At 44.8% G+C, this 16922-nt stretch overlaps 1 protein-coding gene and 1 pseudogene across 1 annotated transcript in view; one reads left to right on the top strand and one right to left on the bottom strand.

The window, feature by feature from the left end:
- The window catches only part of KIF4A (kinesin family member 4A), a 130783-nt gene that overhangs the window by 54496 nt on the left and 59365 nt on the right, over positions 1-16922 (bottom strand). Inside the window, exons 14-15 of the mRNA NM_012310.5 lie at positions 13735-13791; positions 12584-12769 (exon numbers count right to left, since the gene is read on the bottom strand). Coding sequence (NP_036442.3) covers positions 12584-12769; positions 13735-13791 — 243 coding nt within the window. The remainder of the gene's footprint in view (positions 1-12583; positions 12770-13734; positions 13792-16922) is intronic.
- On the top strand, positions 4017-4967 carry TRAPPC2LP1 (TRAPPC2L pseudogene 1; annotated as a pseudogene).

Here is a 16922-nt window from a genome sequence, read left to right as displayed (position 1 = left end):
CACTAAATGCCCACAAGAGAAAGCAGGAAAGATCTAAAATTGGCACCCCAACATCAAAATTAAAAGAACTAGAGAAGCAAGAGCAAACACATTCAAAAGCTAGCAGAAGGTAAGAAATAACTAAGATCAGAGCAGAAATGAAGGAAATAGAGACACAAAAAACCCTTCAAAAAAATCAATGAATCCAGGAGCTGGTTTTTTGAAAAGATCAACAAAATTCATAGACCGCTAGCAAGACTAATAAAGAAGAAAAGAGAGAAGAATCAAATAGACTGGACGCAATAAAAAATGATAAAGGAGATATCACCGCCGATCCCACAGAAATACAAACTACCATCAGAGAATACTATAAACACCTCTATGCAAATAAACTAGAAAATCTAGAAGAAATGGATAAACTCCTCGACACATACACCCTCCCAAGACTAAACCAGGAAGAAGTTGAATCTCTGAATAGACCAGTAACAGGATCTGAAATTGTGACAATAATTAATAGCTTACCAACCAAAAAAAGTCCAGGACCAGATGGATTCACAGCCGAATTCTACCAGAGGTAGAAGGAGGAGCTGGTACCGCTGCTTCTGAAACTATTCCAATCAATAGAAAAAGAGGGAATCCTCCCTATCTCATTTTATGAGGCCAGCATCATCCTGATACCAAAGCCTGACAGAGACACAACAAAAAAAGAGAATTTTAGACCAATATCCCTGATGAACATCGATGCAAAAATCCTCAATAAAATACTGGCAAACCGAATCCAGCAGCACATCAAAAAGCTTATCCGCCATGATCAAGTGGGCTTCATCCCTGGGATGCAAGGCTGGTTCAACATACGAAAATCAATAAACGTAATCCAGCATATAAACAGAACCAATGACAAAAACCACATGATTATCTCAGTAGATGCAGAAAAGGCCTTTGACAAAATTCAATAACCCTTCATGCTAAAAACTCTCATTAAATTAGGTATTGATGGGACGTATCTCAAAATAATAAGAACTATCTATGACAAACCCACAGCCAATATCATACTGAATGGGCAAAAACTGGAAGCATTCCCTTTGAAAACTGGCACAAGACAGGGATGCCCTCTCTCACCACTCCTATTCAACATAGTGTTGGAAGTTCTGGCCAGGGAAATCAGACAGGAGAAGGAAATGAAGAGTATTCAATTAGGAAAAGAGAAAGTCAAATTGTCCCTGTTTGCAGATGACATGATTGTATATCTAGAAAACTCCATCGTCTCAGCACATAATCTCCTTAAGCTGATAAGCAACTTCAGCAAAGTCTCAGGATACAAAATCAATGTGCAAAAATCACAAGCATTCTTATACACCAATAACAGACAAACAGAGAGCCAAATCATGAGTGAACTCCCATTCACAATGGCTTCAAAGAGAATAAAATACCTAGGAATCCAACTTACAAGGGATGTGAAGGACCTCTTCAAGGAGAACTACAAACCACTGCTCAACGAAATAAAAGGGGATACAAACAAATGGAAGAACATTCCATGCTCATGGGTAGGAAGAATCAATATTGTGAAAATGGCCATACTGCCCAAGGTTATTTATAGATTCAATGCCATCCCCATCAAGCTACCAATGACTTTCTTCATAGAATTGGAAAAAACTACTTTAAAGTTCATATGGAAACAAAAAAAGAGCCTGCATTGCCAAGTCAATCCTCAGCCAAAAGAACAAAGTTGGAGGTATCATGCTACCTGATTTCAAACTATACTACAAGGCTACAGCAACCAAAACAGCATGGTACTGGTACCAAAACAGAGATATAGATCAATGGAACAGAACAGAGCCCTCAGAAATAATGCCGCATATCTACAACTATCTGATCTTTGACAAACCTGACAAAAACAAGCAATGGGGAAAGGATTCCCTATTTAATAAATGGTGCTGGGAAAACTGGCTAGCCATATGTAGAAAGCTGAAACTGGATCCCTTCCTTACACCTTATACAAAAATTAATTCAAGATGGATTAAAGACTTACATGTTAGACCTAAAACCATAAAAACCCTAGAAGAAAACCTAGGCAATACCATTCAGGACACAGGCATGGGCAAAGACTTCATGTCTAAAACACGAAAAGCAATGGCAACAAAAGACAAAATTGACAAATGGGATCTAATTAAACTAAGGAGCTTCTGCACAGCAAAAGAAATTACCATCAGAGTGAAGAGGCAACCTACAGAATGGCAGAAAATTTTCGCAACCTACTCATCTGACAAAGGGCTAATATCCAGAATCTACAATGAACTCAAACAAATTTACAAGAAAAAAACAAACAACCCCATCAACAAGTGGTCAAAGGATATGAACAGACATTTCTCAAAAGAAGACATTTATGCAGCCACAAGACACATGAGAAAATGCTCATCATCACTGGCCATCAGAGAAATGCAAATCAAAACCACAATGAGATACCATCTCACACCAGTTAGAATGGTGATCATTAAAGTCAGGAAACAATAGGTACTGGAGAGGATGTGGAGAAATAGGGACACTTTTACACTGTTGGTGGGACTGGAAACTAGTTCAACCATTGTGGAAGTCAGTGTGGCGATTCCTCAGGGATCTAGAACTAGAAATACCATTTGACCCAGCCATCCCATTACTGGGTATATACCCAAAGGATTATAAATTATGTTGCTATAAAGACACATGAACACGTATGTCTATTGCAGCACTGTTCACAATAGCAAAGACTTGGAACCAACCCAAATGTCCAACAATGATAGACTGGATTAAGAAAATGTGGCACATATACAGCATGGACTATGTAGCCATAAAAAATGATGAGTTCATGTCCTTTGTAGGGACATGGATGAAGCTGGAAACCATCATTCTCAGCAAACTATTGCAAGGACAAAAAACCAAACACTGCATATTCTCACTCATAGGTGGGAATTGAACAATGAGAACACATGGACACAGGAAGGGGAACATCACACACCGGGGCCTGTTGTGGGGTCAGGGGACGGGGGAGGGATAGCATTAGGAGATATACCTAATGTTAAATGACGAGTTAATGGGTGCAGCACACCAACATGGCACATGTATACATATGTAACAAAGCTGCATGTTGTGCACCTGTACCCTAAAACTTACAGTATAATTAAAAAAAAAAAGAAAAATAGTTTCTATTCATTATATACACCACATTTAGTCCCTAATTGTCTTACCAACTCCACAAGGGGGAATTATTCAAAAATTTGAGTCCTGGTTTACTACAACTCATGGTAATCTTCATTAATCAGAACCTATCCCTCCCCCTATTTTTCTTTGGCAATTCTTTACAGGTGATAGGAAAAATACCATGCTACTCAGGAGGCTGAGGTGGGAGGATCCCTTGAACCCAGGAAGTCAAGGCTGTAGTGAGCTATGATCATGCCACTGCACTCCAGCCTGGGCGAGAGAGTGAGACTTTGTCTCTAGATAAATAAATAATTGAATTAAAAACTGCTTTTATTTCTTAGAGAAAAAAAAAGATGGTGATTCACATGTGATTAAAACATATTGATTATATTAAGAATTTATTTCAGGCCTTGTGCAGTGGCTCATGCCTGTAATGCCAGCACTTTGGGAGGCCGAGGCGGGCAGATAACCTAAGGTCAGGAGTTCAAGACCAGCCTGGCCAACATGGTGAAACCCTGTCTCTACTAAAAATACAAAAATTAGCCAGGCATGGTGGCACAGGCCTGTAATCCCAGCTACTCAGGAGGCTGAGGCAGGAGAATTGCTTGAACTCAAGAGGTGGAGGTTGCAGTGTGCAGAGATTGCGCCACTACACTCCAGCCTGGGTGACAGAGCAAGACTCTGTCTCAAAAAAAATTTATTTCTTCTTAAGTTAATCAAGCATATTTGATACCATGGGGAAAAGGACTAGATGCCATGGGGAAAAAGACTAGATCTCTTACTATAGCTATAGCTCCTTACTAGCACCCCTTTGTAGAGTTAGGAATACAATGGGCGGGGCACCCAGCACTGGTCCTCCCAAGATGGTGATATGCATCCCGGTGATCACCAAGGAGAATTACCCTCTCTACATCCGCAGCACCCCCACGGAGAAAGAGCTGAGTTTCCAGTACATGGTGCACACATCTCTGGATGTGGTGGATGAGAAGATCTCCTCAATGGGGAAGGCCTTGGTCAACCAGAGAGAGGTCTATCTGGACCTGCTCTACCCCACAGAGGACTACAAGGTCTTGCCTCATAAGTCACTAGAGACTCTCGACCAGTCCCTTTGGACAAATCACTTGAGACCATGGAGTTCAAAGACGTTCCAAGAGCAGTAATGTAGCTTGTCCATGGTGACATTTACCAGTAGCCACTATTTTACAAAACATGGCCTCTACAGAGGAGGTCCGCCTTATTCATGAAGTCTCTGGTTTTGCAGTTAACTTTCTGGACCAGGCATTGATTCACAAAGAGGGTGAGGCATCCCAGGTGCACACAGAGACTCAGAGTCTGAATGGCTCAGCTTCCGGAGCCAGAATTGGGTAAAGCTTAGCTGCCTGCCCTTTGCTTCTCCAGTAAACACCAGTCATCCCAGTGAAGTATGTAGGCATGCACCCAGTATGGTCACTGCAGGACCAGCCCAGCCTGGGCACTTCCTGTGATTCAAGGTTGCCAGGCTTCTCCAAACTGAGGGCACACAGAGGGCCCTCAGCTGGCAGGTTCTTTACCTGCTGTCCCAGCAGTCCTTGTCTTACAAGTGCATTCCCTAACCAGCTATGCAGACAGGGCTACACTACCATCTCCAAGGTGAAGTTTGTCATGGTGGTGAATTCCTCCAACACAGCTCTTCGAGACAATGAAATTCACAGGATGTTCTGGAAGCTGCACAACTCCTACATAGATGTGATGTGCAACCCCTTCTGTAACCCGGGGACAATATCCAGTCCAGGGACTTTGATAACATGGTGATGTATATAATGATACAGGTCTGCTGAGTGAGAACTCTGCCACCAGACATTGCAGACGGAAGCTTCAGCATGTGACTGTTGTGGGGATGTCTGCCTCTTCCTGAATGTGATGCCCATGGCATTTGGGGCAAGGCCCCATGCATGCTGCACCTCAAATAAAGCTCTTGTGAGATGAGATTTGGCTTTTTCCTTTTGTGTTAGCAGAGGATTTAACTAAGGAGAATTCAGCTACAGTCCTTTAGTGGTGTGGGCAGAGGTTAGTGACCAGACACAGCAGGAAGTCTGCCCCCAATAGGCTCGAAGCGGGGCAGGCAGGGGTGCCTGGAGCTGAGAGCTCTGGAGCCCACGGGACCTGTGACCACGTGGGCTGCCTCTGCTGCTCCCTCTGCCCTTGCTGTGGCTGCCCATTGGCTGAACGGGTGGGCTGGTCCATAGGGGTTAGCCTCCTGAGCCCACATCCAGCCTAGGATCTAGGGGCAAATGGGGAGCCCTTCCAACGTGCACATTCCCATGGGGGAGGGCCCTCCTCTTTCTGGACTCGGCCTCCATTCTTTGCATGTGGTCCAACATCTGGACACAGCCCAGGCCTTAGAAGGAGCCCTCGTGAAATTTGGAAAGCCTCAGGTCAGCCTGCTTCTGAAACCCTACAGTGGCAGACTCAAGGTGCCCTTTCCTGCCTGTTGGTGCAGAGTAGGTTAGGATCTGGCTGCTGCTCTCCAGATCCCTGGGCAGGCTGCTCCGGGAGCACATGGCTAGGACGAGCCAGTTGGATCTGCCCTTTCTGCCCAGAAGCCCTGCAGCCAAAGTTCAGATAATGACCAGGCCTGAGGTGTCAACCAGGACTGAGGTGACGGTTCAGGCGGCCCAGGCCTGCCTCCCCAATGTCGCTTGTTGACGTGGCTGAGTGACGACTACCCAGGGCAGTGGCAGAGGCCACAAGGACCACCCACGTGGCTGAGCCCTCAGCACATTCCTCGCTCCATGTGTAGTCAGTACCAGCAGGGTTGAGCAACCAAGGCTCGGCCTGCTGAGGAGCCCCCTTCTCTCCCCAGCCTATCCTCCCACCCCCCAGCACTTGTCTAGGACTAGAGAGTTTCTCAAGGACCTTCCATGATCCCAGAATCCCCTGGGAGCAGGTAAGACTGTTAACGTGGGTTAGTCAGGGGCAAGGCACAGGGAGGTGAACTTTTTCTCTACCCATCTTTGGATTTTCATGTCTTCCAATAAGTGCAGTGTTAATTTTATAAATTACAGAAGAAAAAGAAATCAGCTAGGAGTGTGTGTGTGAAAACCGCGTGCCCCAGGCCTCCCCTGCCCCAGGGTGAATTGGAAGCCCTGGAGTGGGCTGAGGCATGCCAGGCAGCTGATTCGGGTGCACGTGGGCCACAAGCCACCCTCACAGGGTTAAATATTTAACAAGAGCCTCGTATTTGTTAAGACAAGGCAGGACCCCAGCCCAAGCACCTCTCCCCTGCAGCCAGGCATGAAACCTTTGGCTTTTAGTGGGAATCACCCCTGCCTAAGTCCTGGCTGTGGCGGGGACTGCAAATCGTTAACCCAGCATCTATTCTCCTTCCTCCCTACTAACAGAATCCCAGTGCTTCTGCCCAATTCTGACAAGCGGGCAGGCAAAAGCCATGTCCTACCCTCCCTCACAACCCAGGGTGGGCAGTTGTAGCATGCAAGTGGATGATGTCGGGAGAGACTTGCAGGAAAGAACCTGTAAAGGGAGCTCAGCTGACATGTGCAGTACCCTTCACCTTTGCCTTCTTCCTGCCTGGAATGTGGATGTGATGGCTGGTGCTCAGACAGCTGTCTTGAGAGCATGAGGAAAAGATTCACACCCTAAGGCCAAGGAAGCAGAAAGCAGGAAGGATCCTGGGCCTTTGCTGCTGTACGTGCCCCAGACTACTTATGTTCAGCTTTTTTTTTTTTTTTAAAATGTGAGAAAATAAATATACCCCTCTCCGGTTAAAGAAAGAAAGAAAGAAAGAGAGAGAGAGAGAGAGAAAGAAAGAAAGAAAGAAATACAGTGGGGGAACACATATCCCCATGTTTCTAGGCAAGAGTACAAGAAAGGAGGAATCACTTCTCAGCCTTACCAGTAATCCTTTGTTTATCCTGGAAAAGCCAAAATACATTTGACCTTAAAGAGGCTGCATTGTATGTCCTATTAACATGGACAATTGAGCTACATATTTAACTTACTCCCTCCTGAAATCACATGAAAATGAACAAAAAAGGAGGTATAAATCAACGAGAATGAAAAGAGACAAGGAAAGCAGTTGAGAGATATCAACAAACTTTTGGAAGAAGAAAACAGCTGGATAAGCAGTAACTGACATCCAGAGTGGAAAAAGCTAAAATATAACTCCTACAGGACAAACATCAAGAAGAAGCATGCCAATATGTACCACAGAGCCACAGAGTAGAGCAGAGGCTTCCTTTCTGGAGAGGCCGAACCTAACAGGTTGGACACAGCTAATAGCAGGGATGCAGTACCATACTGCTGACAGGGATTAAATAAAAGTCTGTCTATGATTGGAGAGACTTCAACTCCCTTATTTTGTCTGGGTTACTAGAATGATGGCATACCACCACTAGGCCCATACAACTCTAGGCAAAAGAATAAAAGATTTCTTTATTGGAAATTGACTAGCCTAAGAGAAATCCATGCACATACAACTTGCTATTGGCTTTTAGTGCCTCCCTCTTAAATATGAATGGATAGCCATGGCTCACTAGAAATTGTAGGAAAGTATCTTACCTGAAAGACAGACCAAAACAAACACAGTAGAGAAAGGAAATCTGGAGGAAACAAAGGCAAGGCAGGGAGAAGAAGAAAACCTTGATAAAATTTAATTCCTATTCTTAGAGATGGGCTATGCATCCACACAAAAAGAATAAAAGGCTATAAGAAGGAACAATTACAGGATCAAAAGGAGACCTTGGAAATTAATAGCCAAATGAAATAATTCACTAAGAATGAAGGGAAATCTCTCAGAGTGGAATAAAAAGACAAAGAAATAGAAAATAGGAAGAAAGAGATCAGAAAAGCAGAAACTAAATCTAAGAGGTCCAATATCTGACTAAGAGAAGTGCAAGAAAGAGAAAACAGAGAAAATGTAGAGATAGCATTATCAAAGAAATGATAGGAAAAAAACCGCCCAGAAAGGAGTACAAATTTCTAGATTGAAAGGACCAGTCGAGCACCAAGCACAATAAACGAGAAAAGAAGGCTGGGTGTGGTGGTACATACCTGTAATCCCAGCACTTTAGGACTGGGAGGCTGGGAGGATCACTACAGACCAGGAATTTGAGACCAGCCTCAGCAACATAGTGAGACCCCATCTCTACAAAAAATAAAAAATTAGCCAGGCATGGTGGCACATGCCTGTAGTCCCAGCAACTTGGGATGCTGAGGCAGGAGGACCACCTGAGCCCAGGAAGTTGAGGCTGCAGTGAGCTGTGATGGCACCACTGCACTCCAGCCTGGGTAACAGAGCAAGACCCTGTCTCTATAAAAACAACAATAATAACAACAACAACAAAAAAACAACAGGAAACCATACCAAGGTCCATCATTGTGAAATTAAGTAACACCTGGGGACAATGAAAAGATCCTGAAAGTTTCCAAAGTAAAAAAAAATAGGTCTATAACAAATAATCCAAAATTATAATAGACTTCTCAACAGCAATACTGGAAACAGAAGACAATGGAGCAAGGCCTTCAAAATAATGAAGAAAACATTTCTATAGAATTGTAAACCCAGCCAAACTAACAAGTAAAAGAATTTTTAAAAAGCAATTTTCAGACATGCAAAGCTTTAAAGTATTTCCCTTTCATGTATACATTCTCAGAAAGCTATTGGGGTTTTACTCCACCAAAGCAAAGGGGTATACTAAAGAGGAGGAAGACATGAAATCCATGTCAACACAGATGAGAAAGAAGTGAAGCAAATCCCCAGGATGATGGTCCCAAACTGGTGAGTGGGCAACAGCCCTAGAGAAAGCAAACCAGGACAGAAGATTCCAGAACGGTTGTTTTCAGGAAAGAAATGGATTGATAAATTATCTGGTATGTCTGACCACAATGAAGAGTTTTATAGTTTTTTTGTTTGTTTGTTTGTTTTTGAGATGGAGTCTTGCTCTGTCGCCCAGGCTGGAGTGCAGTGGCGTGATCTCGGCTCACTGCAAGCTCCGCCTCCTGGGTTCACGCCATTCTCCTGCCTCAGCCTCCCCAGTAGCTGGGACTACAGGCGCCCGCCACCATGCTCGGCTAATTTTTTGTATTTTTAGTAGAGACGGGGTTTCACCGTGTTAGCCAGGATGGTCTCTATCTCCTGACCTCGTGATCCGCCCGCCTCGGGCTCCCAAAGTGCTGGGATGAGTTTTACAGTTTTGTCAAGAAGTTTGGAGATAAAATTATTGACAGGTATATCGAAAACTAAGTAAATGGAAAAAATGAGATTATTATCTCTAGCAAATACAAAGAGCTATACAAGAAAGGAAATGCAATCATACTATATGGCTCAATTTTAAACATATTTATGTAATCAGAAAAATTTAAACACTAAATACTCATTTAAACAAAAAGGGTGATATAACCATTTTGAAAGAAGAAGGTGAGGCAGTGTGCACAGGTGGTGGGATAAGAGAGCTACGTTCTTGTCTTCCATCATGGGAGGTCAATAGATATTTATCTAAAAAATGTAACATAATTATACTGCCAATTCTTATCTAGAAATATGGAGGTAAATGTCAGAATAGGAATAGAGGACTGCTTTGATTTTTCTAAGTATTATAGTATTTGACTTTAAAAAATGATATATATGCATTTGTTTGACATAGATAAAAATTAAGTTTTTTGTTTGTTTGTTTTTTTGAGACAGGGTCTCACTCTGTCACCCAGGCTAGAGTGCAGTGGTGCAATCTCGACTCACTGCAACCTCCACCTCCCGGGTTCAAGCGATTCTCCCGCCTCGGCCTCCCAAGTAGCTGGGATTAAAGGCATGCAGCTAATTTTTGTATTTTTAGTAGAGACAGGGTTTCACCATGTTGACCAGGCTGGTCTCGAACTTCTGGCCTCAAGTGATCCACCTGCCTTGGCCTCCCAAAGTGCTAGGATTACAGGTGTGAGCACCATGCCCAGCCAAAGTTTTTTTTGTTGGGATGGTCTCACTCTGTCACTCAGGCTGGATTGCAGTGGTGTGATCTCAGCTCACTGCAGCCTCCACCTCCCTGTGCTCAGGTGATCCTCCCACCTCAGCCTCCCAAGTAGCTGGGACTACAGGCTCACACCACCAGGCCCGGCTAATTTTTGTATTTTTTGTGGAGCCAGGGTTTCGCCATGTTGCCCAGGCTGGTCTCAAACTCCTGGGCTCAAGTGATCTGCCCACTGCAGCCTCCCAAAGTGCTGGCATTACAAAAAACTAAGTTTTTAAAAGTTAAAAAAGACCATGATAACAAAAGGGAAAAAAATCTCTATTGGCAACTCAGTTATTATTTTGGAAGCAACCTCTAACCTAGGGGGAAAAAGTGGTGAAAATTAATTAGCAGAAACACTTTTTTTGTCTTTACTCTGAAAACGTATGAGAGCTGGCAATTTAAAAAAAGCATGAGTACTTGTTGTAGGGTCCTGCAGCCCCATCCGTTCTCTACTGGGCCCTGGTATCCTGCTCCTCTCCCAGCTCTGCCGCTGAACTCTGTGCCTTAGTTTACTTCTCTGCACCGGGCGCTCACCCCAAGACCATTCCCAGCAGCTTCCCAGGTGATGTTGGTACCCCTAAGGCTGGGCTTTGCCAGCTGTGGCCCAGCTCCTTAGTACTGCCCAGGAGACACCAGGTTGCTGAGGATGTGACTGTGGGCACCATTCTAGGCCAGTGGTTCTCGTATTGCATTCCAGCAGCAGGAATATCACCTGGGAACTTGATAGAAGTGCAAATTATTGGCCCCGCCCAAGACCCACTGAATTAGAGCTTATGGAATGGGGCCCTGCAAGCTGGGGTTTTAAGGAGCCTTCCGGATGATTCTGACATGCATGAGAATCTGCCAACTACTGATCTAGGCCAGCCATTAGTGTAGCCTGGGGAGGGACTGGGGCTGTCTAGACCAAGAACAGGTAGAAAACACTAGCCTCATCTGGACTTCTGAGATTGGGAACCACCACCAACAAAAACCAACCCTATAGTCTCTCCTCTTGGAAGAGGAAGATAAATTGGAGGGCCTGGAGAAAGCATACATTTTTTTCTTTCCCTGCTCCTGGCTTGGTTCCAGCTCTGCTCACCTCTCTCACTTGTCTTGGTTTTACAAAAGGCTGTCTAGATGATGCCAGCCAGGCAGGGGTGGAAGTCCTGGGGAGGCAGGAGGCAGAAGACCCTGACTGTTTATGCCTTGGGAACCTCACCATAGACCAGATGGCCCCTCTTCAAATGGAAAGAATCCTAACTCCACAAGGAAAGAATCTTAAACCCCCAGTTCCTCCTCCTCCCAACCCCAGGAAGACCTTGTAGACAGTGCCAAAAAACAGCTCCAACCCCCAGCAGCTGGGAAGAAAGCCAGAAGCTGTCCTTCCTCCTCATCCTGGCCCCACTTCCCAGCCCCCGCCAATACTGTGAACCCTCTTCCCATTCAGCCTGGTTTCCTGGTGAAGGTCCTGCAGTCGTGGGCCCTGGGGGATCCCCTGGAAAAGGCCCTCAGGAGGGAAGGGACCAAGGGCATCCTTGGGCCAACTGTCCACCTCTCTTGTCCACTGTTCTCTCCTCCCCACTTCTGTCTTCAAAAGGCTACTTCCCAGGATAGATAGGGTGCTAGGACAACTGCAGTCCAATCCAAAAGCTCTCCCTGCCCCTGTGTCTTATTTCAGATGTGAGAACAACTGTACAGTGTAAAGTAATAAAGTGTTTTTAATGGTTGTAGATTGGAAATAAAGTATGTCATATGAACAGTTGCCATGGGGGAATAAGAAAGCATGGATACTAGAGCTGTTCCTCAATATAAACACATAATACCTTGGGAGTAGTAGGATATAGCTGGACAGGAAAACAACCCATTCTTCCCCCTACCACCCATCCTAATATCCCTTTGTCTGTAATTACAAACAGTGAGAAACACTGGTCTGCAAGGGAAAATAAGTCTGGAGCAAGGGCCATTTCTTGTGGGTAACCTGAAAGCCAAGGATTTGCCTTTAAGTAAAGACCTGACTATTAATTGGCAAAGGCCACTTAGAACTATCATCAGAAAAAAGTTTAGCCATTTGTCAAGTCATGTGACATCCACTAGTGTCTTCATAATTCATACTATAACCCAGACTATTTACCAAAAGATGTGTTTTTTCTCAGAATCCAAGCATAGTTATTAGAATATAATTTCTCTATAAGTAGGGACCACATTTATTATAATGTTATCAAACTATTTATTAAATACCTGTGGCATAAGGTAAGGCATTAGATTAAATGGAACAAAATTACATGCTCCCTGTCCTGAATGTATCCTCTTTTTAAACCAACAGTACAACTCCCATTATACTATATACATTTTGTTGTCTTTTCATCATCAAAAATTATATGCTTGTTGTTTTCTTCCCATTCAGTTTAAGAGACTGTAGACATGAACAAATACTGCCCTAGGAAATAGTTTACCTGGTATTGGTACTGAATGGGCTGCAGTTGGCTGTCATTCTGAGTCATCTTCCTAGCCAGGGCCTCTTTCAGTGCAAGCGCTTTATTCAACTCAACCAGCTCCTTAGACATCTGCGCTTGACGGAGAGCATGCTGAGTGGTAAAAGCGTCAGAAGACCTGCTCGTCTCTGGACTGGTTTCTACTTGCTGGAAAAAAATCAGGATAATGATTTATAAGAGAAACAAGCAAATGGAGTTCCTTAGGCACTATTTCATCAAGTCTCACAGGCACTTCTCCATTAACAATATCTCTGTTCCTTTACAACAGTGGCTCTGCATACATTTGTTTTAAGTATCTGAAATAAATAGCTAGCCTAGTTCCCTGCTCTCTCAAGCACCTTATTTCTTATATACTTTAATGGACTCTTTTAGTATCAACTAACTTTCTTTGCTCTTTCCTTTATTGATCTGGATGGCATTTCTTACTTTTACCTCATTCCAAGGGGTTCTTACAGGAGAGAAGGTCCTGGAAATTGAGAAAAGGGTTCATTTGTTCTCACACAGCTGACCTCTAGTACCTGACCTAGTATTTTCCTTCTTTCAGAATGTGAAAACTACTGACATAGATTCATTTTAGGGAGAAAAGCCTGTCTCAAGCAATCCATCATCCAGCCTTTCATTTTGTCTTTATAACCTTTAGTCAACATCTAACACATTTTATCTATCCTTGTGATCTGAACACTTAAATTATTTTCCTTGGTTCTTTTAGCCCCTAATATCTCATCCATAGAAAAAATTCTCTTCTGTTTCTCCTCTAATGCTTTTTTGACTTTGCCATAATTTCCTCATTTTTTCCTCTCCTCATTTTTAACTTGCTGGACGGTTGATGCAGAATACTAGCCTCTAACAAGAAATCAGTCAGCTGGGTTGCAAATATGGAACATTACATTCTTGAGAAGTCCTGCCCCCCATTACCAGTTATACTATTAGTGGTAGAGCCTATCCAAGGTAGGGATTTTATGAAGCTGAGATTTACACTAAAGATTTCTGGATTTAACAGGCATTCTATGGAGGATGGTAACAATCACAGGTTCTCTTTTTCAGTTGAGTGATAAATTATAGGAAACGGCAGTTAGAGCTCCTGGTTCTACACAAAGGGGCCAATTACTTACGGCTTCTTGCTCCACCGCAGTATCAATGGCTGCAGCCATGCAAGCAACAGTTTCATCCTGCAGTAACAAATGTTTTGGTTTAGGGAAAGAGTCTGAAGTAAAGCTTACTGGTGGATTTTATATTGGTTATTTAATTTTTTTTAAGTGTATACAGAGACTGTTTAAGATATTGGACCCATTTTATAGTTACAGAAACCCCAATAGTCACGTTTCCATTTCCCATCTCTCAAGAGTCTTTCTTCTTCATAAAGGACAATTGTGTAGCTCTTATAAAAAATAAGGTCATGTGGCAACTGACATATTTCTTGCACTTCTCCTGCCCTGCCAGAGACATTTGGGCCAGAGTGAAACATTTAGCCATTCCAAAAGGCCAAAGTTTAACCCATTTTATGGACTCTACCCTTTCTTTTTATGCATCTACCGCTTAGTATACCTCTATTAATGTACAAGCCTAGCCAGTTCTTATGGGGACATACCATTCTACGAACAGACATATCAAATAATGGCAATGCATCAGAAAAGTAAATAGAATGGTTATTTTTTATTTTTATAGTCAGTCAAGGTAGCAGGATCTTCCTCTATAAAGAAATAAATGCCTAGCCAGGCACGGTGGCTTATGCCTGTAATCCCAGCGCTTTGGGAGGCCAAGGCAGGCAGGTCAAGAGGTCAGGAGTTCGAGATCAGCCTGGCCAACATGATGAAACCCCGTCTCTACTAAAAATACAAAAAAAATTAGCCGGGCGTGGTGGCGAGCACCTGTAATCACAGCTACTCTGGAGGCTGAGGCAGGAGAATTGCTTAAACCTGGGGGGCGGAGGTTGCAGTGAGCCAAGATTGTGCCACTGCACTCCAGCCTGGGAGACAGAGCAAGACTCCATCTTGAAGAAAAAACAAAAATCAAAAAACAAAAACAAAAACAAAAACAAAAAACAGAAAGAAATAAATGCCTTAGATGGGTACTCCCAGAAAAGTGTGCTCTTGAAGTCAGATAAAGGTACTGCAGCCTCTGTCCCTCATGTAAATAAGAACTGATCATAAAGATATGGAATCAATCTAAGTGTGTATGTGGTGTGTGTATACCATACCACATTTTCTTTATCTGATCATCCATTGATACACCATGGACTACTACTGGAATAGTAATAGTCACACCATGGAACACTACTCAACCATAAGAAGAATGGAATCATGTCTCTTGCAGCAACTTGAATGAAACTAGAGGCCATTATCTTAAGTGAAATAACTCAGAAAGTCAAATACTGCATGTCCTTACTTATAAGTGGGAACTAAATAATGTGTACACATGGGCATAGTGGAATAACAGACATTGGAGACTTGGAAGAGTGAAAGGGTTGGGGGATGGTGAGGGATGAGAAATTACTTATTGGGTACGAAGTACAGTATTTAGGTGACGGCTACAGTAAAAATCCAGTCTTCGGTACTACCCGATATATCTATGTAACAAAACTGCACTTGTACCCCCTAAATCTAAAAATAGAAAAAAAGAAAAAAGGGAAAAAAAGAACAGATGATATGGTGCTACTCCAGGTAACTAGGAGGAAAAGGGTAAGCACTAATTCTTTGGCAAATTATTTTTTGGGGCATTCAAACAAATGCCACCTAGAAGGGAAAACTAAACTACTTAATAGGACTAATTTGTTTATAGGCTATCATATTAGCAAGCTCTGTTCTCACCACTGGAATTTAGGCTTTATTTGGTATTGTAAGATATGGATTACCACTTCTGTGTAAGTGATTCTTCAAAGCCCTGGGAAAAAAGAATTATTTCCAGGAAGTCATGTACTTAAGGAGGTCATAGGTGAAAAAGCTATTAGCTCAACAGCTAAGAATTTAGGGTTAGTACATGGAGTCTCTATATCACCCTTATGAAACATTACATAGTTGTTGAAACTTAACTTTTAGTACCTTTAATGTGAGAAGTGAAGAGACCCCTCTCCCCTCGCTCTTTTTTGAGACAGAGTCTCGCTCTTTCACTCAGGCTGGAATGCGGTGCTGCCATCTCAGCTCACTGCAACCTCCACCTCCTGGGCTCAAATGATCTTCCCACCTCAGCCTCCTGACTAGCTGGGACTACAAGTGTGCACCACCACACCCAGCTCCCTCTCCCTCTCCCCCTCCCCCTCCCCCTCTCTCCCTTTCCCTCTCCCTCTCCCTCTCCCGTCTCCCTCTGTTGCCGAGGCTGGACTGTACTGCCCTGATCTCAGCTCGCTGCAACCTCCCTGCCTCCGGCTCCCGTGATTCTCCTGCCTCGGCCTGCCGAGTGCCTGGGAATGCAGGCACCCGCCGCCAAGCCTGACTGGTTTTTGTATTTTTGGTGGAGACGGGGTTTCGCCGTGTTGACCAGGCTGGTCTCCAGCTCTTGACCTCGAGTGATCTGCCCGCCTCGGCCTCCCGAGGTGCTGGGATTGCAGACGGAGTCTCGCTCACTCAATGCTCAATGTTGCCCAGGCTGGAGTGCAGTGGCGTGATCTCGGCTCGCTACAACCTCCACCTCCCAGCCACCTGCCTTGGCCTCTGAAAGTGCTAAGATTACAGCCTCTGCCCGGCCGCCACCCCATCTAGGAAGTGAGGAGCGTCTCCGCCTGGCCGCCCATTGTCTGGGATGTGAGGAGCCCCTCTGCCCGGCTGCCCCGTCTGGGAAGTGAGGAGCGCCTCTGCCCGGCCGCCCCGTCTGGGAACTGAGGAGCGCCTCTGCCCGGCCGCCACCCCGTCTGGGAGGTGAGGAGCGTCTCTGCCCGGCCGCCACCCCGTCTAGGAAGTGAGGAGTGCCTCTGCCCGGCTGCCACCCCGTCTGGGAAGTGAGGAGCGCCTCTGCCCAGCCACCACCCCGTCTGGGATGTGAGGAGCATCTCTGCCCGGCCGCCCCGTCTGGGAACTGAGGAGCGCCTCTGCCTGGCCGCCACCCCGTCTGGGAGGTGAGGAGCGTCTCTGCCCGGCCGCCACCCCGACTAGGAAGTGAGGAGTGCCTCTGCCCAGCCGCCACCCCGTCTGGGAAGTGAGGAGCGCCTCTGCCCGGCCACCACCCCGTCTGGGATGTGAGGAGCATCTCTGCCCGGCCGCCCCGTCTGGGAACTGAGGAGTGCCTCTGCCCGGCTGCCCGGTCTGAGTAGTGAGGAGCGCCTCTGCCCGGCAGCCGCCCCGTCTGGGAAGAGAGGAGCGTCTCTGCC

Source organism: Homo sapiens, chromosome X (assembly GCF_000001405.40).
Source record: "Homo sapiens chromosome X, GRCh38.p14 Primary Assembly".
NCBI lineage: Eukaryota > Metazoa > Chordata > Mammalia > Primates > Hominidae > Homo > Homo sapiens.
Note: the sequence above shows the minus strand (reverse complement) of the source record. Positions and strands in the feature narration are given on the sequence as shown.